General features: G+C 49.8%; 1 protein-coding gene and 1 non-coding gene across 4 annotated transcripts, besides 5 other annotated features; one reads left to right on the top strand and one right to left on the bottom strand.

Annotated features, from left to right (window-relative positions):
• Window positions 92-1,080: an enhancer, noted in NCBI's record as "H3K4me1 hESC enhancer chr16:87329362-87330350 (GRCh37/hg19 assembly coordinates)". NCBI's record gives its function as "activates a minimal SCP1, AML or CMV promoter by ChIP-STARR-seq in naive and primed H9 embryonic stem cells {active_cell/tissue: H9 hESC(naive and primed)}" and the evidence as "EXISTENCE:reporter gene assay evidence [ECO:0000049][PMID:30033119]".
• Window positions 1,081-2,067: an enhancer, noted in NCBI's record as "H3K27ac-H3K4me1 hESC enhancer chr16:87330351-87331337 (GRCh37/hg19 assembly coordinates)". NCBI's record gives its function as "activates a minimal SCP1, AML or CMV promoter by ChIP-STARR-seq in primed H9 embryonic stem cells {active_cell/tissue: H9 hESC(primed)}" and the evidence as "EXISTENCE:reporter gene assay evidence [ECO:0000049][PMID:30033119]".
• Window positions 7,150-21,728, bottom strand: C16orf95 (chromosome 16 open reading frame 95). 3 transcript variants are annotated; one of them, NM_001195124.3, is made up of 7 exons: window positions 21,427-21,728; window positions 20,108-20,159; window positions 19,307-19,432; window positions 15,486-15,632; window positions 14,633-14,669; window positions 10,055-10,241; window positions 7,150-7,411 (listed from the first exon to the last, which is right to left on the bottom strand). In NM_001195124.3, exons 1-7 carry the CDS (start codon window positions 21,576-21,578, stop codon window positions 7,393-7,395), a joined length of 720 nt encoding a protein of 239 aa, NP_001182053.1. In that variant the 5' UTR covers window positions 21,579-21,728; the 3' UTR covers window positions 7,150-7,392. The 3 variants fall into 3 exon arrangements, with proteins under 3 accessions (NP_001182053.1, NP_001182054.1, NP_001243846.1); NM_001195125.3 differs by lacking the exons at window positions 14,633-14,669; window positions 15,486-15,632; NM_001256917.2 differs by lacking the exons at window positions 14,633-14,669; window positions 15,486-15,632 and having other exon boundaries at window positions 21,423-21,728.
• Window positions 10,356-10,939: an enhancer, noted in NCBI's record as "NANOG-H3K27ac-H3K4me1 hESC enhancer chr16:87339626-87340209 (GRCh37/hg19 assembly coordinates)". NCBI's record gives its function as "activates a minimal SCP1, AML or CMV promoter by ChIP-STARR-seq in naive H9 embryonic stem cells {active_cell/tissue: H9 hESC(naive)}" and the evidence as "EXISTENCE:reporter gene assay evidence [ECO:0000049][PMID:30033119]".
• Window positions 19,056-19,159, top strand: LOC124903787 (small nucleolar RNA U13). The gene has a single exon (XR_007065233.1). It is a non-coding gene; the product is annotated as a small nucleolar RNA U13 (small nucleolar RNA).
• Window positions 19,549-20,049: an enhancer, noted in NCBI's record as "H3K4me1 hESC enhancer chr16:87348819-87349319 (GRCh37/hg19 assembly coordinates)". NCBI's record gives its function as "activates a minimal SCP1, AML or CMV promoter by ChIP-STARR-seq in primed H9 embryonic stem cells {active_cell/tissue: H9 hESC(primed)}" and the evidence as "EXISTENCE:reporter gene assay evidence [ECO:0000049][PMID:30033119]".
• Window positions 21,306-21,755: an enhancer, noted in NCBI's record as "active region_11320". NCBI's record gives its function as "activates an Ori minimal core promoter by ATAC-STARR-seq in GM12878 lymphoblastoid cells {active_cell/tissue: GM12878}" and the evidence as "EXISTENCE:reporter gene assay evidence [ECO:0000049][PMID:35858748]".

A 21,781-nucleotide genomic window follows, 5' to 3' on the forward strand; every position in this document is an offset into this window, starting at 1 on the left:
AAGAGCTGAGATAACAGGTATGAGCCACTGTGCCCGGCTCTAAAAGCTTTTGAGTCCTATTTTGTAGGCCCCAGTGAAACAGTGTATCCAGTTCATGATCACCAAGGGATGCTAAAGCCATGGGCAAGGTCTGCTGGGCTCGGGCTGACTTGCCAGGGCCTCCTGGTCAGTCTTTGCATTTCAAGAGTGAGGCCTACAGCGTCGTGAGCCTGCTGACACATGCATGGCGGGCACGGAGCCCGGCCCAGGAAGCCGCCTTACAGAAAATATGACAGGCCAGTCTATCAAACCTTTAGGTCAACTACAAGTTTACAGGAAACACGGAGCAGAGAAGAGGGAAAATGCAAGGTGGTTAGATTTTTTTTTAAACTTTGCCCCTTTTAAAAATTTCAGATTCATATACCTGTTTTTATAGGCAGAACGGTTTCTGGGAGGAAGGAGAGAAGGTAGGATAAAGGGCAGTGGGTGGAGGACCTTGCTCAGACAGAGAGCAGAGGTCAGCTGGGGGTGCAGGGTGGAGGCTGAGGCTCCTGAAGCTCACGTGGGCAAGGAGCTGTGCTTCACAATCACCTCCTAGGGGACTCTGCCTGGCGCTGCAAGCACCCCAGAACCCAGGATCTCCCACTGCCCAGAGCCCATGCTGTCGGCGATGTGAGGGGCGAACCTCAGCAGCCAGGGCAGAGTGGCCGAAGACACACGCGGACACCTGCTCTCCACCACCTCCTGCTCCCCACCTGGGACCAGGGAGCTGGTGTCCTGTGATTTCTGGAATCTCACACCCTGCCAGTGTGCTGGGAAGGACACAATTGCCTGGCTGGTGCTGAGACGACATCCCCACATCTGGAATGCCAAGGTGGCCTCCTCCGGAATGCCGCCCCTTCCACTGCTCATGGGTTGGCCTGAAGGTTTGTTGTTTTAACATAAAAACGGGGCCTCGGCAGGGCACGGTGGCTCACGCCTGTAATCCCAGCACTATGGGAGGCCGAGGCAGGCAGATCACGAGGTCAGGAGATCGAGACCATCCTGGCTAACACGGTGAAACCCCATCTCTACTAAAAATACAAAAAGTTAGCCAGGCATGGTGGCAGGTGCCTGTAGTCCCAGCTACTCAGGAGGCTGAGGCAGGAGAATGGTGTGAAACCAGGAGGCGGAGCTTGCAGTGAGCTGAGATTGCACCACTGCACTCCAGCCTGGGCGACAGAGCGAGACTCCGTCTCAAAAAAAAAAAAAAAAAAAGCGGTGGGGGGGCCTCAAACAGCACTATCTCTCTTGGAAATGACAAAAGTGAAAACAGGAAGCTTCCAAGTGCCCCAGTGGACTCCCAGGGCTCCCAGATCCCCCAGTGCAATGCCCACCAGAGAAAACAGCAGGTATCCAAAATCAACAAGTACTTATGCGGCACCTGTTGTGTGTCAAGCATGGCAAGAGTCCCTGGGACAGCTACAAAAGCTCCATGACACTCAACACCACTGAGCCTCAGCCCAGCCTGGACCAAACATCACTAAGTGATCACAGAGGTTCTTCCTCAAGGGCCTGGTGACCTCAGGGGTCTTTGCTACAGTGCCCAGGCAGCACAACCCATTTGCAATTCCTCTAACGGGGAGGCTTGGAAAGGGTCTCCCCAGAGTGGACAAGTGGAGAGGCAGCACCTGGAACTGGGAGGCCGCCGAAGGAAAGGTGGCCTGGATGGGCTGCAGGAGAGCCAAGGCCAAGTCTCGCATCTGCCACCAGCTTTTGTGGGGCTTGGGACAGGGCATGGCCCTCTCTGGGCCTCACTGTCCCCATCTGCGAATGAGGTGATTGGACCAGTGTCCCCACGGCCCCTCCCAGGCCTCAAGTCTTGGCACATGGGTCACCAGAGAGCTCTCAGAAGGTGGGGCCAGGCACTGCCAGGAGCAGCCCGAGAAGCCACCAAGGCCTGGACTGGGCCAGGCTGGGCAGACTGCAGTGCCTCCACCTGCCATGGCGGCCTGGCTGGGCCAGTGGGACTCCAGCCACATGTGGTTCATGGCTCCTGAACCAGACGGTACAGATCAACTTTTCCACCATCACAGAAAGTTCCACTGGGCAGGGCTGGGCTGTGTGGTCATTACCCAGTTAATGGCCTGGGGCAGAGTGAGGGGAAGAGAGGCAGAGGGGAGGAAAAAGGAAGGGAGCAGGGGAGGAGGAAGGGAGGGCTGTGTGGCTGGGTGGAAGGGAGATGGGGAGGAAGGGACAGAGTGTTTCTCTGGGCTCCTGACTTGAGTCCAGGGTGCAGACAACAGGAGCATCTTCTCCAAAACCCTTTAAACGGTTACCCCACATTTCACCTCCCCTGGCCCCACCAGGTCCAGGAAGTCACAGCTCCCTCTCCCACAAACCATGGGCTGACCTGGGCAACTGAAGCCCCCTCCAGCCCTGGCCTTCTGGGGCTTCTATGCTAAAGTCTCTCAACAGTGCCCTCTTGTGGCTCCTAACGCCAAGTTTCACGACAACGCCTGCAGGCGGAGAGCTGCCTGGGGTCCGTCTATGGAAGCCGTGGTCCCGTGTGGGCTGCAGCAACATTGTCACTGGGTTATTCAGGACATGTGGTGCAGCCTCAGGTACCACTCCCCAAGAGCACACCTGCACAGATGTAGACAACAGAGCCAAATAACCCCACCCACCTGGAACACAGCCACTGCCACCACCACCGAGGTCCAGACACCATCGTCCCCCACCAGGTTTCCTGCTGCAGCCTCCAAGCTGGTTTCCCGTGTCCACTCTTGCCACTCTATTCCATCCAACACTCTTCAGCTGGAGTGGTTTCTCCAAAATGCAGCCTGTGGTCACGGGCTGCTGTGGCCGCTGCCTTGACCTGTCCTCCCTTGCCACTGACACGGCCAGGGGACCCAAGCCTTCATGGCCTTCTCGAATATGCCCTGAACCTGGCTGTGGTGCAGGATTTAGCCACACAAATGTGAAGCCCTGACAGCCTCCCAAAGCCTCCCATGCTCTCTGCCATCCGCTTCATCCTCCAGTGCTCTTGGCTGCCCATGCCACGACCCAGCCACCCTAACTGGATTAAGTGGCCGGAATGCCCCCACCTGTCACCTCCAGACTGTCCACCCCTGCTGTGCCTGTGCCCTGGCACTCTGGTCTCACCTTTCATTGCCAGGTTTCCTGGAATTGTCTTCAGGTCTCTGCTCCGATGGCGCTTCCTCCCTGACTGGTGAGATGGGATCTGCTCACCTTGTCTTATCTTGAGTTCACCCCAAAAGCAGAGCCTGAGGCAAGGATTGAGCGCAAGTGTTTTCTGGGGGAGGTGATGCAGGAAGCCCTGTGAGGGAGTGGGAAGGTGAGGGGAGGAAGGAGAGCTGGGATGAAGGAAATTAGCAAGAAGGTGGCCCCAGTGGGCGGTACGGGCTCAGTCCTGCTGGGAACACGGCCCAGAGTCATCCCCATCGAAGGATGCGGGGGCAGAAGTGCTGACCCACACCTCCCACCCATCATCGGCCAAGGGCTGCTCCTGGGGCATCACGTCCTGTACATCCAGCCTGTCCCTGCAGTGGCTCCCACAGCAAGAACACCCCAGAAAGAGGTTGCTGGTCCTTGTGGCAACGTGGGAATGGTTAGCAGGTCACTGACGGAGCTCCTGGGCCCTCCTTGTGTTCATGTGTGCCTCAGGCAGGATGGCAACGACCCCCACCTGAATTACAATACCCTCGCTGCGCAGTGGCACCCTGGAGGCAGCACATGTCTTCTTATGCTGTCTCCCTGGTGCCAGGCATCCAATAAATATGTGCTGATTGAATAAATGATGTTTAAAGTTGCCCTAGGGCCACTGAAGATGTGCCCCTGGAGAACACGGCTTCCACTCCCTCCACGGTGGCCACTGCAGATACGGATGTGCCCAAGATACACCGAGGCCCTGGCCCGTCACTGTAGCCCTCTTTGTTCTGTATATCTGAGACTCCCACGTCTTTCTTCCTTGTCTCTAAGGTGAACCCCCCAGTTCAAGCATCCCAGAGTCTGGTTCCTGTTTGACACTTTTTTTTAGAGAGACAGGGTCTTACTGTGTTGCCCAGGCAGGAGTTGCAGGGGTGTGATCACAGTTCATTGTAGCCTTAAACTCCTGGGCTCAAGAGATCTTCCCACCTCAGACTCCCAAGTAGTTGGGACTAGAGGCATGCACCACTATGCCTGGCTAATTTTTATATTTTTTGTAGAGACAGGGTCTCGCTATGTTACTCAGTCTGGTCTCGAACTCCTGGCCTCAAGTAATCTTCCCCAGCCTCTTGAGTAGCTGGGATTACAGGTGCGAACTACTGTCTGAGCCTGTTTGTCACCTTTAGGTCCTCCGTTTGGTCACCCCCGGAGGAATGTGTCCTTTCCTTCCTGCCCAGGCAGTAATAACAGAGATCTGCTCAGGGGAGGAACTGAGTGGTTTCTATTTTCTTCTTTGTAGTTTTCTGTATCCTTAAAGTCTTTCACAGTGAATTGTGTTGCTTCTACAATTAAACTTATCATTTTGAGATAATTACAGAGTCATGTACACATATAATAAATAATACAGAGAGGCCAGGAACAGTGGCTCACACCTGTAATCCCAGCACTTTGGGAGGCCAAGGCAGGCAGATCACTTGAGGTCAGGAGTTTGAGACCAGCCAGGCCAACATGGTGAAACCCCATCTCTACTAAAAATACAAAACTTAGCCAGGCGTGGTGGTGTGAGCCTGTAATCCCAGCTACTCAGGAGGCTAAGGTGGGAGGATCACCTGAGCCCCAGGGACGGAGGTTGCAGTGAGGCAAGATCGCACCACTGCACTCCAGCCTGGGCGACAGAGTGAGACCCGGTCTCAAAAAAAAAAAAAAAAAAAAAGAGAGATAATACAGAGAAGCCCCATGTTATCCTTTATTCGGTTTGCCCCAATTGGTAACACATGGCAAAACCATAGTACAATACTGCAACCAGAACACTGCCACTGATGTGTTTCCAGCCACAAGAATGCCTCGCGCTGCCCCTCTATAAACACAGGCCCTTCCTTCCCACCAGACCCAGACCCTTCCTGAGCTCCCAGAAACCACTAATCTGCCTCCATTTCTATAATTTTATCATTTCATGGTGTTATGCAGGACAACTGGATATCCACAAGCAAAAGAATGAAGCTGGACCCCTACCTCATACCATATACAGAAATTAAACTCGAAATAGATTTTAGAAACCTAAATGTAAGAGCTAAAACAATAACACTCTTAGAAGAAAACACAAGGCTGGGTGCAGTGGCTCACCCCTGTAATCCCAGCACTTTCAGAGGCCGAGATGGGCAGATCACTTGAGGTCAGGAGTTCAAGACCAGCCTGGCCAACATGGAGAAACCCTGTCTCTACTAAAAATACAAAAATTAGCCGGGCCTGGTGGCAGGCACCTGTAATCCCAGCTACTTGGGAGGCTGAGGCAGGAGAATCGCCTGAACCTAAGAGATGGAGCTTGCAGTGAGCCAAGATCGCACCACTGCACTCCAGCCTGGGCAACAGAGCGAGACTCTGTCTCAAAAAAAAAAAAAAGAAGAAAACACAAGTGCAAGTCCTTGTGATCTCGAATCCAGCAACGGTTTCTTAGATATGAGCATACGACCTAAAGTCCATGCAACCTAGAAAAATATAAACCGTATTTCACAACAATTTAAAACCCACATCTACTTCGAAGGACATCATCAAGAAAATGGGTCTAGTATCCAGAAAATACACAGAATACTTACAAGTCAATAATAAAAAGATGGATAGACAACCCAATTAAAATATAGACAAACGGCCAGGCATGGTGGCTTATGCCTGTAATCCTAGCACTGTGGGAGGCAGAGGCAGGAAGATCATTTGAGCCCAGGAGTTCAAGACCAGTCTAGGCAACAAAGTGAGACCCGTCTCTACAAAAATTTAAAAAACTATTAATAGCCAGGTATGGTGGCATGTGCCTGTGGTCCCAACTACATGAGAGGCTGAGGCGGGAGGATTGCTTGAGCACAGGAGGTCAAGGCTTTGGTGAGTTATGATTGTACCACTGCACTCCAGCCTGGGTGACAGAGTGAGACCCTGTCTCAAAAATATATATCTGTGTTAGGGGGACATATCTATATATATGTATATGTCTGTGTGTGTGTGTGTGTGTGTGTGTGTGTGTGTGTGTGTATGTGTGTATCTATATATCTATATATAGACAAAGTATTTGAATAGACGCTTCTCCAAAGAAGTTATACGAATGTCCAATACGCACATGGAAAGATGTTCAACATCATTAGTCATTAGGAAAATGCAAATGGAAACCACAATGAGATACCACTCCATACCTGCTAGGATGGCTATCAGCAAAGTCACAGATGAAACAAGTGTCATGAGGATGCAGGGAAATGGGAACCCTCATGCCTGCTGGTGGGCATATAAAATGGCAGAGCTGCTGCGGACAAGAGCTGGGCAGTTCCTCAAAACATGAAACATGGAGTAATATATGATCCAGCAATTCCACTCCCAGGTGTACACCCCAGAGAAACGCAAACCTCTGTCCACACAAACACTTGTACACAAATGTTCATAACCACATTATTCACAAAGTAGAATCACCGAAAAGCAGAAACAACCCAAAATTCAACCATCAAAAGAAATGACATACTGACATATGCCTCAACACAGATGAAGCCTAATACGGAGTGAAAGAAGCCAGTCATAAAAGACCACTTATCGGACGACAGCATTAAGATAAAATGTCCCAGAACAGGCAAATCCAGAGTCAGAAAGTAGATCAGAAGTCACCAGGGATTGGGGGAGACGGGAAGGAGTGACTGCTTAATGGTATGGGACTTTTTGCAGTGAATGTTCTAGAATGAGCAGTGATGGTTGCAAAACTCTGTAAATATATTAAAAACCACTGAATCGTATACTCTAAAAGAGTGAATTTTATGACATATAAAAGAGATCTCAGATTTTAAAATTCAATTCACATATACAATGTTATGCTACTTAAAGGGAGACCCACCTGACACAGGTGCTGAAACCATTTTCGGGCCCTCATCCAGTGGGTCTGCTGTCCCTGAAGAGACACTCGGAAATAGCTGCCCTCCCCCAGGGACACGGACATGGGGACAAGTCCCCCCTTAATGAAGGGAAATCAGAGGTCATCATTTAAGAGGTGGCCAGTTTAGAGTTTCACAAATAACATTTATTGACCACATTCATAACAGAAACTCACCCACATTCACATGAACTTTGCTACAACCAAGAATCACCTGATGAGAAATCATTTGGGTTGAATCCTGGGTGTGGATTCTGTTCTGAGAAGACAGCGACTGTCACAGACGCCTCCTGATTGGTGGACTCTCAAAGATCTTGATCGTGACACATTTTTGTGGCTGTTCTTGACAGTAGCTGAAGATTCCAACTTCAAACCCCAAAACACTGGCTGGAAAGCAAAGAGAGACAGTTACTAGGACCCGGCCCCAGGCTGAGACCAGCTGCCCTCAGCGCGTGCCCTTGGGAAACCTCCATGAGCGGAAGGCAGAGGCGCTCCACAGTGCACAGGGCTGGAGGAATCCCAGGCAGGGAAGGGGTGCAGGGATGAGGGGTGGGGTGCAGTCCTGGCCATATCGCTTTCCAGCCGCAGGACTGGGGTGAGGCATTCCACCTGAGTGCCCACTCCTTCTGAAAAGGGATGATAATGCTGGCTTTGCAGAACTGTGAAGGGGACAGGTGAAATGAAGGCAGGTCTCACCCTGCTCTTGGGGGCTCCCTGCCAAGAGATTCTAAGCCCACCCTCTCCCCCCACCCCCGGCTGCTGTAGCACATCTCTCCAGGCCGGCAGACGGGCCGCCGAGGCTTCTCCTGAGATAAGCTGGGTTGGTGGCTTGGGGCATCTCACAGGGCACCCAAACATCCCAGCTGGACAAGCTGTGCCCTCCCCTGGGATGCTGGTTGGTGCCTGCTCCGCTGCCCTGGGAGCTTGGCTCAGAAGCAGACACCTGCTATGGAAGCATATGAATCACCAACACCACAGAGTGAGTGACTTCCTGGGTCTTTCTAGACAAGCTGTTGATAAGGACAGGAAGAGATGGGGCCCTCCAAGTGCCAGAATTCAGGGGCTGGAAAACAGGAAGCTGCACCAACATGCAGGCGGGTCTCCACCTGGACTGCACTTCTGGGGAACTTCAAAACAAGAGCATGCCCAGGCCCTCCCCAGAACAGTTACTCCAAATCTCTAGACAAAGCCCAGGCATCTTTCTCTTTTTCTTCCCCTCTCCTTCCTTCCATTCCTTCCATCTTACCAAGTAATTTGAGCCTGAGGCCAGGGCTTAGCAATTCCCTTTTGGGCCCCCTGACCATCTACTTAACATTGATCCTTTAAAATTGTTTCTTAAATTTCTTTTAGAGATAGGATCTTGCTCTGTTGCCCAGGCTGGAGTGCACTGGCACAATCAGCTCACTGCAACTGCACTCTCCTGGGCTCAAGCAATCTTCCCACCTCGTTCTCCCAAGTAGCTGGGACCACAGCACTACACTCAGCTAATTTTTTTATTTTGTGTGGAGATGGGGTCTCACTATGTTGCCCAAGCTGGTCTTGAACTCCTGGGCTCAAGTGATCCTCCCACCTTGGCCTCCGAAAGTGCTGGGATCCAGGTGTAGGCCACCACACCTTGCCCATCCTCTAAGGCTGGGATCCAGGTGTGGGCCACTGTGCCCGGCCTCGCCCATCCTCTAAGGCTGGGATCCAGGTGTGGGCCACCATGCCCAGCCTTGCCCATCCTTTAAGGCCAAGTGTTCTTCTTTGCTTCTCCCAGTGTGGGTACAAAGGAGTCAAACTAAATGTGATCATCAAGCTGCCAAACATAAAAAGAAAGATAAATCCACAAGAAAAACGACAAAGAAGGAAAGCTCTCGCTGTTGCCCAGGTACTGCTCATGCTCAGAGACCAAACAGAGCTCACCGCGCCCGCTCCTGGCCCCCTTCCCAGTGCATGGCCTGGAGAGGCTGGCGCCCAGGCCCACAAGGGACCCGTACCCCGATGCACATCACAGCCTCAACTGTGACTGCCCAGGGAGTGGGAGGCAACGTCCAACTCTAGGAGAATGGATAACCCAAAAAACAGGGGAGAGCCTCCCGCTCCCGCTCCCAGCCGTGGCAGAGTGACCAAGACCGGGCTAAGCTCCTGCTGTGAACAACTAGAAAACAGGACAGGACACCTGGCAGCTACCTGCAGACGCTGCACATTTTCTAGAATCTTCCTCTTGCAATTGCATGGAGGAGACAACGAGCAAACAAGTAAATGCATGTAAATTCGACTGTGTGTGTGCGTTTGTTCACAGGTCTCCTCATCCATGCAGTGTGATGCAGGCCCCCAGGCAGGAAGGAGCTGCACTGGGCAATGAGGAGGAGGAGGAGAGGAGAGAGGCTTTGCAGAGGAGCCACCGCCTAGGCCGAGAGTAAAGGAGTAAGAGGAAGTAGCTGTTCCCCGAAGCCCAGCTGTGGCCCGGGGAGTGGCCCCGGAGGCTTCCTGGGGGAGGTATCCCAGCAGAAAGCCATGGCTGTGGGCAGCAAGGGTGCCAGGGGCGAAACTCGAAGCCTGGGCGAGGATAGGGACTAGAGACCAGGGGAAGGGGCTTTCTAGTATGGAGACTGGCGGCTGGGGCTCAAGCTGGGGACAGGCAAGAGGTCCCCATACCTGAGGGGGTGCTCAGAGCTCAGAGGCTGGAGGGTGAGTGGCTGTTAAGATGCACCGTCAACCCCAACATAACAATGAAAATTTATGGAAACTGGGACCCGTGTCCTTCTGGGAGCAGGGCCATTTTAGAACTTGGGAAGAGGGAAGGGGTGGAAGTGCCCCACGAGGCCCCCGCCGCCCCCAGGCTGCCCTGGCATCTCTAGGTGACGCGGGGCAGAGCCTGCGCTGTGCAGAGCACCACAGGACACACTCACAGTGCCGGGCCTTGGACGCCTGTCAAGTTAAGCCCCACCCCCCACTCTTCCACATCCCTGATGGCCACCAAGCCTCCCTCAGGTGGACGTCACCATGCCAGGGCCACCCACTGTCCCCCATCCCCCACCTGCTCACCGAATGGCCATGATGACCCTCGGGATGGCCTGGAGGAGGGTCAGGAGGCCGAGGGGCAGCAGACGCGCTGCAGGAGCCGGTAGCTGGTCCTGGTAGGGGGCCTGGAGCTGCTGGAACTTGGACAACAGGCACTCATCACCGCAGATCCGCCAGCAGTTGTGCCAGCAGCATGCATCCAGCAGGGGTGCTAGGCAAAGAAAAGGTGGGTTGAGGACAGGGCGTGTTCTCCGGGACTCTGTGAGCCACGAGGAGGCTGCAACACCAGCCCCAGAGCCTCCGGGAAATGGGGACTTCCAGGACCCAGCCACAGCCCCGGGGTGGGGACACTGACCCGGAGCTCACGAGATAAAGGCCGTCTTGCGGGTTTATGATATCCTGGGTAACGGCAGCCTTGGGGCTGTTTTTCAAGAGGCTTGCTCTTTTAGAACAGCATATGGAACATGTGCAATGTCTAGCTGGGACTTGTTTCCAAATCCTCTTTTTTGGAGCGGGAGTGGGTGGTGAAGATCAGAGGAACCACACTGGATAATGACTGGAGCCGAGTGATGGGCACGTGGGGCTGATTTAAGCCAATCTCCACTTCGGGGTATATTTGAAATTTTCCATAACAAAAGTTTAAGGAAAGCCACAAGCACGGATGGAATTCCAACGTTTCCATTTCCTTGATGCTCTTCGGCACTTTCTACACGGGGTCTGGTCAGCATGTGATCCTCTGGATACTAGAGTTTGTTTTTATTTTTTATTACACTGTTAATATGCTACTAATATAAAATATACATTAATTATATTAATGTAAATATCATAAATATACTTTCCTTATGAAAAATTATGCCACAAAAACATAGAGGAGAAAAGCACCTAAGTCTGTCTTTACAAGAAAAAATGTAAGATCAGAAATGTGGACTTTCTCATTAAAATGGAAACCAGTCAGATTTGCAGCCAAAGAAAGTGTCTCACATTTTTAAATCACTCCGTACTTGCGGCCAGAGGGAAGAACTGTCATAATTCTCCTGGCAGCAATGAGATCTGCTCTCTTAATTCTGTGCTGGGAAATCTTCTGGCGTGAATGGGTTTGAGGCTTGAAACATTACTTATATAAGTCACCTAAACTACAAAACAATGATTGGAGTAAAAATTAATGCCATTTTTATTTTAAGTATCAGATACCAGATGATGCATGTCAACTAAGCTTTTAGCTTTTCTTAAAAGATGCAAAGGTTTCAAAGCCAAAAATATTTAATAAAAATAAACCCAACATATGTGATTCTACGGTTCGAAGAGCCATAAGAGGTGAGCAGTTGGTTGGTGATTATTTGTTTCCCAAGCATTCCCCGACCCCTGCCTCTGGGGGTTCCACTCAAATCACTCACCTTTTCCAGGGACCCCAACTCCATTCACAGATTTACTCATTCATAGATTCCATCAAGGCAAACTCACTACAAAGAGTTGGTGCACCAAGAGAAGGACATGATGCCAGCCCAGAAAACACAGACACGGCAGCCCTCCACAACAGAAAACACCTTCAAGATCAAGTCTAGCCTACTCCTTTTAGAGACAAAGAAAGTAATGGTGGGTGTGGAGGTCCTGATCTCCCCATATACTATGTCATGAGAGCAGGAATACACATATGTGCCAGGTCACAGACAGATCAATCTACATACCAGGTCACAGACACACAAATACATAAATATACTTAACTATGAATACATAAAGGGACTGCAAAAAGTTTGTAGAAAATGGAATTAAAAGATAAAAATAGGCCAGGCACGGTGGCTCACGCCTGTCATCCCAGCACTTTGGGAAGCTAAGGCAGGTGGATCACCTGAGGTCAGGAGTTCAAGACCAGCCTGGCCAACATGGTAAAACCCATCTCTAATAAAAATACAAAAATCAGCTGGGTATGGTGGTACACTCCTATAGTCCCAGCTACTTGGGAGGCTGAGGTAGGAGAATTGCTTGAACCCAGGAGGCAGAGCTTGCAGTGAGCCGAGATCACGTCATTGCACTCCAGCCTGGGTGACAGAGTGAGACTCCATCCTAAAACAAACTAAAAATAAAAATAAAAAATAAAAAATATCAACTTTGTTTCTCAACATAAGCTCTACAAGGTCAAGACACTTTTGTCAGTGATGACACCAGCTACTTAGTCCATCTTGAAAGAGCTGAGGGTCCTGGGAATTTAACCACATCAATGCAGTCTTTTTTTACATCATTAACTGAAGAAAATGGGTGCCCTTTAAAGATTTTTTAAGATTAGAAAAGAAAGAAGACAGAAAGAGCCAAATCAGGACTGTAATTTGGCTGTAAGGTGGATGCCTAATAATTTCCCATCAAAACTCTCACAAAGTTGCACTGGTTTGACAAGAGGAATGAGCGGGAGCCTTGCTGTGGTAGAGAAGGACTCTGGTGGAGCTTTCCAGAGTGTTTTTCTGCTAGAGCTTTGGCTAACTTCCTCAAAACACTCCCATAATAAGCAGGTGTTGGCCGGGCACAGTGGTTCACGCCTGTAATCCCAGCACTTTGGGAGGCCAAGGTGGGAGGATCACGAGGTCAGGAGTTCCAGACCAGCCTGACCAACATGGTGAAATCCCATCTCTACTAAAAATACAAAAATTAGCCAGGCATGGTGGCACACACCTGTAATCCCAGCTACTCAGGAGGCTGAGGAAGGAGAATCACTTGAACCCAGGAGGCGGAAGTTGTGGTGAGCCGAGATTGCGCCACTGCAAGCCTGGGTGACAAAGTGAGACTGCATCTCAATAAATAAATAAATAAATAAATAAATAAATAAATAAATAAATAAGCAGATGTTACCATTCTTTGGTCCTCCAGAAAGTCTACAAGCAAAATGCCTTGAGCATCCCAAAAAACTGTTGCCGTGACCTCTGCTCTTGTCCCATCCACTCTTACCACGATGGGACCACGTTCAGCTCTCGATAGCCATTGCTTTGGTTGTGCTTTGTCTTCAGGATGGTACTGGCAAAGCCATGTTTTCACTCCTGTTACAATTCTTCAAAGAAATGTTTTAGGATCTTGATCCCACTTCTTTAGAATTTCCACTGAAAGCTCTATTCTTGTCTGCAGCTGATCTGGACACAATGGGTTTGGTGCCCTCTGAGTGGAAGGTTTGCTCAACTTTGATTTTGCAGTCAGAATTGTGTAAGCTGAGCCAGTTGAGATGTCTACGCTGTTGGCTAGTGTTTCTGCTGGTAATCATCAGTCCTCTTCAGTTAGGGCATGAACACGATGAATGTTTTTTCTCACAAACTGATGTGGATGGGCTGGCGATGCAGGCTGCACCTTCAACATCGCCTCATCCCTTCTTAAATGAGTCACCCATCTGGAAACTGCTGTTCTGTGGTACACTGTCACCATAAACTTGTCATAAAGCATCAGTGAGTTTACCATTGTTCCACTCAAACTTCACCATAAATGTGATGTTTGTTTTGGGTTCAATTTTAGCAGAGTTCATGCTGCTCTGATAGGGACTCTTTTTAAACTGATGTCTTTTCCTTCTTAGCACCTCAAATTAGATCCTGTTCAGATATGTTATAATAAGTTAGTATCAGTTTAGTTTGGTGCAAAAAAAAACTGAAATCCATACATTGTTTCACTGCTTTTTTTATTATATGCATTTTCTTTTTCTTTCTTTTCTTTTTTTTTTTTTTTTTTTTTTTTTTTTGTAGACAGAGTCTCACTCTGTTGCCCAGGCTGGAGTGCAATGGTGTGATCTCAGCTCACTGCAACCTCTGCCTCCCAGGTTCAAGCAATTCTCATGCCTCAGCCTCCTAAGTAGCTGGGACTACAGACATGTGCCACCACACCCAGCTAATTTTTTGTATTTTAGTAGAGACAAGGTTTCACTATGTTGCCCAGGCTGGTCTCAAACTCCTAAGCTCGGGCATTCCAGCCTCTTCAGCTACCCAAAGTGCTGGGACTACAGGTGTGAGCCACTGCACCCAGCATATTATATGCATTTTCCATAAACTTTTTCAAGGCCCCTCACATGAATACATATTGTATTGTGAATACATGAATGTGAGTATATACTATGTCTATCATGAACATGTGAATGTACATACACTAGGTCACAAATATATGAATGTATGAGCATACTATGTAATGAATAGATACATAATTATTATGTTTTGAATATACAATATGCCATGAATATATGAATGTATGAGTATATAATAGGGTACACATAGGAATATGTACTATGTCATAAATATATATACACACACATACTATGTCATAAATTATAGAAGATTAGAGCTTAATAAAACCACTTGAGGTCTCATCCAAGCCCAGGCGGGGAGTTGGTTTCATCCAGAGAACCGATGCTGGCAGATGGGTAGGGTCTGCCTGTAGAGCAGAGGTTTCTCTGGGCTCACTGGGGGAAGGCAGTGGGTGACCAGGGATGGCTGTTGAGCAGGGGAAGGGAAGCCACATTCATGTCACTGTCACACTGTGGGCAGGTGTCTGGTGATGAGAGGTCTGCCCCCACCATCATGATGCTCACGAACCCCACCTTTCTGGGGAGGGGGATGATATGAGACACACACACACTGGAGTTACCTTGGATGCCTTTCAAACTCTGCTGCCTCCTGACTATCTAAAAGACAAGAATGGAGGCAAGCAGTCAGCCTGGCGACCCTCCAAGGGGGAAGGCCTGGTGATTGGGACTCCAAACCTCCAGGAGGGGCACTGGCCAGCTCAAGATAAAAGCCAAGGGCTCCTCCTTATGAGGTCTGCGGGCTCTTTTCTCTGAGGACAGCCTGCCACCCAGTAATGGAAAACCAGCAACTGGAAGTCAGGGGGAAGGAAGGAAGCCCTTGTCTACCACCCAGGACACAGGGAAAGCAGGGGAGCGAGAGGCCCAGGGGGCTAGGAAGAGACCTGCTGCCGCTGCCCAGAACTAGCGCTGTGGAGGCGGCCAGCAAGAGCAGAGAGGACAGGCCATCTACTGGTGGTCCGTCCCGGGCACCCTCCTTCCCACCTCCCTCCATGCAGCCAGGGCCAGGGGAGAGAGTCAGAGGAGGGGCTGGGCCAGGGAAGGGAGGTAGTGTGGGAAGGAGGAGGCAGGGAGGTGAGAGAGGTCAGGGAGAGTGCAGAGGGGGAGGAAGAGAGGGAGGAAAGCAGCAGCAGCAGCAGTGGGTGCCAGAACAATCACCCCTCTGCAGAGAGCAGCGCGGCCCTGCCCTTCCAGTGCCAACTGGGAGACCTGAGCCAGCCCTCCCTGAGCCACACCTGCCCTCTGTGCTCCCAAGCCCATGGCCACAGCTGCCAGGGGATCTTCTCTGGACACCAGCAGAGGCCTTTGTGGGAGCAGAGCCCAGGTACCCCTCTTCCCCTTCTTCCTCCCATCTCCCCTTCCCCCGGCCCCCACCTCACTCTTCAGTTCTCACTGCAGTGTGCGCCTCCTCCTTACCTGCTGCTGAGACCTCAGGACCTGGGGCACCCAGTAGGGCATCACTGCCTGGTCCCTAGGCATCGGGAGGCGGCCCCCAAAGCGGTGGCATAGGCAGGGGCACATCTTGGCGGTTTGGGGGATAGGAAATTGAACCGTCTTTTGACTCTAACAGAGAGGATGGGAGGAGAAGATTCAGAAGGGGATGGAGCCATGCCTGTCCCCAATGACTCCCTGATGGAGCCATCCCCCAGAAGATCCCCTGGCTGGGTCTTAGTATCAGGGCAGGCCCTGGAGAGCTGTTCCCACCCACAAGCACACCCAACCACTCCAGATATGGGACTGTGGTCTACCCTCTACAACATGCCCACTGTTGGGAGACACGGGACCTCCGTGGCTCACCTGGCCTCCCTACCCACCATCTGCACCTGTGCCCTGGCGGAGCACACAGGTTGGTATTGGGAGACCTGGCTCTGTCCTGGTCTGGTGGTCTCCAGCTGGGGCCCTTGGGCATGACACTTAGCATCCCTGTGCCGCAGTGCTCTCAGCTATGAAGAGGGCTCTGCTGGCATCTTAACAAAGTTTATCAGGTTCTAAAATAGACAGCCTTTGATGCGGCAATTCCACTTGCAGGAATGTGTCCCATGAGGATACTTTCACATCTGCAAAGTGTCCTATGCACAGAAATATTTGTTGCACCATTGTCAGGAGTGAATGGACAGCCCGAATACCTTTCAGTAAGAGACAATAAATGACAGACATCGGGCAACAGGGTATAGGCAGCCTTGGGAATAATGGAACAGAGCTGTCCGGACTGACACGGAATAAACTCTGAGACAGGCTGTAAAGTGAGGAAGATGCAGCACCGTGAGTTCACTACACTACCATTTGCATTTTTCAAAAAAGAATGTACATGCAATCACATGTATGTGAATTATTGCAAATTACACTCTTGCCTCAGTTCCTCACCCTCCCTAAAGCCCACCCTTGGCACTGTGACCCTGCAGCTTCTCCAGCGGAAAGACAGGGTGGTCCCACCTCTCAGCTGCGGGTTCAACGAGGCACATGGTTCGGGCAACAGGATGAGGAGGAGGTTACAGCAGGAGGAGGAGTTACAGCTCTGCACGTAGTGGTAGAGGCTATTAGACACGGGAGGAAGGCCGGGAGCAGTGGCTCATGCCAATAATCCCAGCATTTTGGGAGGCCAAGGCAGGTGGATCACTTGAGATCAGGTGTTTGAGACCAGACTAGCCAACATGGTGAAACCCCATCTCTACTAAAAATACAAAAATTAGCCGGGAGTGGTGGTGGGCACCTGTAATCTCAGCTACCCGGGAGACTGAGGCAGGAGAATCGCTTGAACCTGGGAGACGGAGTTTGCAGTGAGCCGAAATCATGCCACTGCACTCCAGCCTGAGCAGCAGAGTGAGACTCCATCTCAAAAAAAAAAAAAAAAAAGAAAGAAAAGAAAAGAAAAAGAAAAACTGAATGCCATCCCTCATAAGCAGGACAAGAATGTCTCCTCTCACTGCTCTCTTCAACACTGTACTGAAAGGTCTAGCCAGTGTATCAAGCAAGAAAAATAAAAGTCTCCAAATTGAAAAGGGAGAAAGAAAGCCATCTCTATTTGCAGATGACACAATCATCTACATAGAATAGCTGATGGAATCCACAAAAAGAGCTACTAGAATAAATAGGTTTAGCAATATTGTAGAATACAAGAACAATAGACAAAAAATCAGTTGTACTTCTAATACCAGCAATGAAAAGTCATAAATTGAAATTCAAAAACAATGTCATCAAAATTATGAAATACTTATGGGTAAATCTGACAAAAGATGTGTAAAGCCTATATAATAAGAGCTACAAAATATTTATGGGAAATATTAGAGAAAACCTAAATAAACATAGAAATGTATCATGTTTATGGGTCAAAAGATTCAATATTTTTCAAAAGACAGTTCTCTTCAAACTGATCTACAAAGCCCACACAGTCCCAATCAAAATTCCAGTAGGGTACTTTTGTAGAAACTGACAAACTGATTCTAAAATTCACATGGAAATTAAAAAAAAAAAAAGAGAAAAGCCAAGTCTGAAAAAGAAAAACAAAGTTTGAAAATGAACACTACTTGATTTCCAGGCATTATAAAGTCAAGACACAATAATCAAGACAGTGTAGTATTAGCATAAAGATAGACAATTAGATCAGAAGAGAAGAGGGTTCAGAAATAAATTCATACATATATGAACAACTGTCAGTCCACTTGTATGGCCATAAAGGAATAGCTGAGGCAGTGTAATTTATTAAGAAAAGAGGCTTGGCCAGGTGTGGTGGCAGCTCATGCCTGTAATCCCAGCACTTTGGGAGGCCGAGGCGGGTGGGTCACTTGAGTCCAGGTGTTTGAGACTAGCCAGGGCAACATAGTGAGACCTCATCTCCACGAAAAATAAACAAAATTAGCCTCGTATGGTGGTGCACGCCTGTGGTCCCAGCTACTTGGGGGGTGAGGGGGGAGGATTGCTTGAGCTAGGGAGTTCAAGTTTGTAGTGAGCCATGATTGTGCACTCCAATCTGGGCAACAGAGTGAGGCCCGGTCTCAAAAAAGGAAAGGCAGGCCAAAGACATGGAAAGACATTTACAAATTGAATCTCGGATCAAGAACTTGTATCTAGAATTTGTATCTAGAATATATAAAGAACTATCAAAACTCAGTAATTTAAAAAAGCAATTCTTTTAAAGGGGCAAAACAAACAGATGCCTCATCGAGTAAGACATGCAGATGGCAAAAGCACATGAAGAGATCCTTGACATCACCAATTATCACGGGTATACAAATGAAAACTACGATGAGACAGATACCCATTAAGATGGCTCAAATTAAAAACATCAGCTAAACCAAGTGTTGGTGACGATGTGAGGAACTGGAACTTTAGACACTGCTAGTAGAGATGTAAAATGGTGGAAAACAGTCAACAGGTTTCTTTTTTAAAGTTAAACATACACCTACCATATGATTCAGGAATTCCACTCCTTGGTATTTACCCAAGAAGAATGACGGCATATGTGCATACAAAGCCTTGTACACAAATGTTCATAGCAGCTTTGTGTGTAACACATAAGAAGTAGAAACAACCCAAATGTCCTTCTGGGCGAATGAATAAACTGTGGCCTATTCACATAATGCAGCATTACTCAATAATAAAAAGAATGACTATTGATGCCCATGATCACATAGAAGAATCTCAAAATAATTATGCCAAGTGAAAGAAGCCAGACAAAAGAGTACAAAGTCTATGACCCCATTTATATAAAATCATCAAAAATGCAAATTAATCTACAGTGACAGAAAGCAGGTCAGTGGTTGCCTGGGGATGTCAGGGTATGGAATGTTGGGTAAAGTTACAAAGGAGCCCACGGACATGATTAAGGGTTGTGTATATGCTCATTATCTTGATGGTGGTGGTGGGTTCAGGGGGGAATACCTACGGCAAGACTTACCACATTGTACATTTGACACACGTGCAGTTTATCACATGCCAATCAAACCTCTAGAAGTCTAGTTTTTAGAAAAAACTGTTTAAAAATCACAGATCCTTTTATAGTTCATAAGCATGATAACTGGGTACTCATGCACATGTGTGAGGTGTGCCTCCCTCAGACCTTGCTACAACGACAGCACATTACCCATCTGACATGAAAATAAATAAATAAATAATATCAAACTGTCTCCCTGAAATGTTAAAATATCCATTCATATAATACTTCTAATTCTGAGGGGTGACTGGTCAACTGACATTCACCCTGGACCCTAGGGGAAGACCTCCTGGTTCAAGTCACCTACCTGCTTTCGGGGTCTCAGGGACAGAGGGACCCAGTAAGGCAGTGCTGCTTCCACCCTGGACACAGGCAGGCGGCCCCCGAATCTGGTCTGGCATTCACAGCAGATGGCCCAGGGGCCAGGGTGCATCTGAGTAAGATCCAGAAATGACAGAACTGAGCTTGATGCTGCATTTGCAGGGAGACAGGAGGCTCTCAAGCACAGTAGATCCGTGCTCAGGAAGATGGTGTCCGGGGGCAGGGTCCCCAGCTCCTACTGCAGCTTGGAAAGAGGCAGGCTACCGTGGCTCGCCCTGAGGCCTCCAAGGTCATTTGGAGGGGGATCCCCCGGAGCTTGCAAATCAGGTGCGCTGGGATTCTCAGCTGCTTCCTGCTGTGCTACAATGAGCAAGTCTCGTGGTCCCCTCTGAAAATGGGCATGTACAAGCAGCTCTAGAGCTTATGCGCACATGAGTGCTGCCTTTATGGCCATCTGTCACACTCTGGTGTGCAAGAGCTTCCACATCCATCCCATGTGACCTTCGCAACACCCTCAGGCAGGAAGGAGAGGTGCTGCCATCACCTCCAGGGGCACACGGAGAAGCTGATGCCCAGAGCAGGTATATTAGGTGGCCTCCTGAACTCTGAGGTGTTGTGAGGGCCTGGGAGGTGTTCTGGAGGCCCAGGGATAGCTCCTGCAACCACACTTTTGTGTTTGGAGGATTCTCTCATGGGATGCAGCTTCTGGACCCACATTCCCTGCTCTCCTCACCCCACAGGGATATGTTGGGGTCAGGGCCAGTGGCTGAGGATTTGCTTTCCTTACCGAATGACGGGGGAGGCACACTTCTTTCTTGTAGGTTTGAAATGTGCTATTCCTAGAAGAGAAGAACAGAAAAGCTTAGGGTTTGTGTAAACTAGGGGGCAGGGATGCTAGAGCACAGGCCTGGACCTGTCTTCTCAGAACTGACTCTTAATAATAAAGCCCACGGGTGGTGGGGATGGGGGGATCCTCTGAGCCCAAGAAGAGTGAGAGGGTGACATCAGAAGCAGGCGTGTGCTAGCTCATGCGTGAATGTCTAGGGGCTCCTGGGGGCTGGCTGTCATGGAATCCTGCATTCCCAAGCCAACCAGCTTCAAGCTGACTCCAGCTACACTTGTGCTTGGAGCATCAGAAAAGACAGGAGCATTCCAACCTGCTGAGAACTTTCCAAGACATGTAGCTGCCAATCACATCACCTAGGATGATCTGTCAGACACCCTCAACTTACTGAAATACTGAAGAAAAAACATCGTCAAACTGTCCATTAATGAACCTCCTTCCACTATAAAAACCCGGGTGCTTTGTCTCTGGGATGACAAAGCACTTGGGGTTACACAGCCTGTGTGGCTCTTCCCTGTTCCACTCCCCAACAAACTGCTTGAATGTTGGCTGGATGAAGCGTCTCCAGTGGGTGCAAAGCCCTGCTTCCCTGACAGTAGTGGGTCAAAGTGCTTTGTATGTGGAAACCGTAAGAGCGATATAAGTGTTTTTGGGTTTCATTGTCATAATAACCATTATTATTATTGCTATTTTTGTGAGAGTAATAGGTTCACGCATCAACTCTCCCAGATAATGCTTGAAAACAGAGGATGGGGCACTGCCCTCCACAGCATCCGAGGCCCCTTCTGGTAATGACAGCACTGCTATATTCCTGGTGGGGAGGGGGGGGGCCACAGCCATCTCAGTCCTTGTAGTTCAGGTGGGCCAAACTCACCACTGCCCAGCCTGGAAAGCTGGGAAAAAAAAGAATCTCCTTTTTGTTGAGGTTGATAATCTGATAACATGTAAACCTCAGGAGGTCCTGGTGATCATCTTGCCTCCACAAGGGAAGCCAGCAAAAAGGAAGGAAGCTGAGAGATGGAGAGAAACCTTCCAGGACCATGGTCAATGTGTACCTGGATACATCCATGCCTGAAGGCCTACTTCTGACATTTTCAGTTATGTGGAACCATCAGTTGCGTTTTTGTTAAGCCAATGTAAGTGAGGTTCCTGTGGGTGGCGGTCAAGAGTTCTGCCTGTGCATAGGTCATGGAGCAATGCCGGGCCGGGAACTCACAGGCGAGGTGTCGGGTAGCCGCGGGCAGGATTCAGGACTCACTTGCCTGCCATCCTGCGCGCTGGGTGTGAGTGCCAACCTGCAGAGCCCGACGCACCCCGCGCCCGGCCCCCCGGCAGCAGCGCCTGAGGCTGCTCCAGTGGCCTCATGATGATGGTGACAACGCCGCGGGGACGGTGGGGACCGGCTCGCACGCATATGGCTTCTTATGGCTGACGCGCCCTTTCACACACACATCGTCCGCAGGCCCTGACGCCCTGGCTCCCGCCTTTCCCTCCTGCCCCAGGAGGAACCCAACCCGAGCTCAACCCCAGCCCCAACCTCAACCGCTCAGAGGAGCCCAACAACGCCCGCGCGCCCGCCCGTCCCGCTGACTAGCCCGCGCCCAGCCAATCAAAATT

This window comes from Homo sapiens, chromosome 16, assembly GCF_000001405.40.
Source record: "Homo sapiens chromosome 16, GRCh38.p14 Primary Assembly".
NCBI classification, from domain to species: domain Eukaryota; kingdom Metazoa; phylum Chordata; class Mammalia; order Primates; family Hominidae; genus Homo; species Homo sapiens.

Coding starts and splice junctions, on each gene's coding strand:
- C16orf95 (NM_001195124.3), bottom strand. CDS start 21,578: ATGCGTGCGAGCCGGTCCCCACCGTCCCCGCGGCGTTGTCACCATCAT. Junction 15,633..19,306: donor CCCTGAGACCCCGAAAGCAG/GTAGGTGACTTG, acceptor CCTCTCTGTTAG/AGTCAAAAGACGGTTCAATT. Junction 14,670..15,485: donor TCCTGAGGTCTCAGCAGCAG/GTAAGGAGGAGG, acceptor CTTGTCTTTTAG/ATAGTCAGGAGGCAGCAGAG.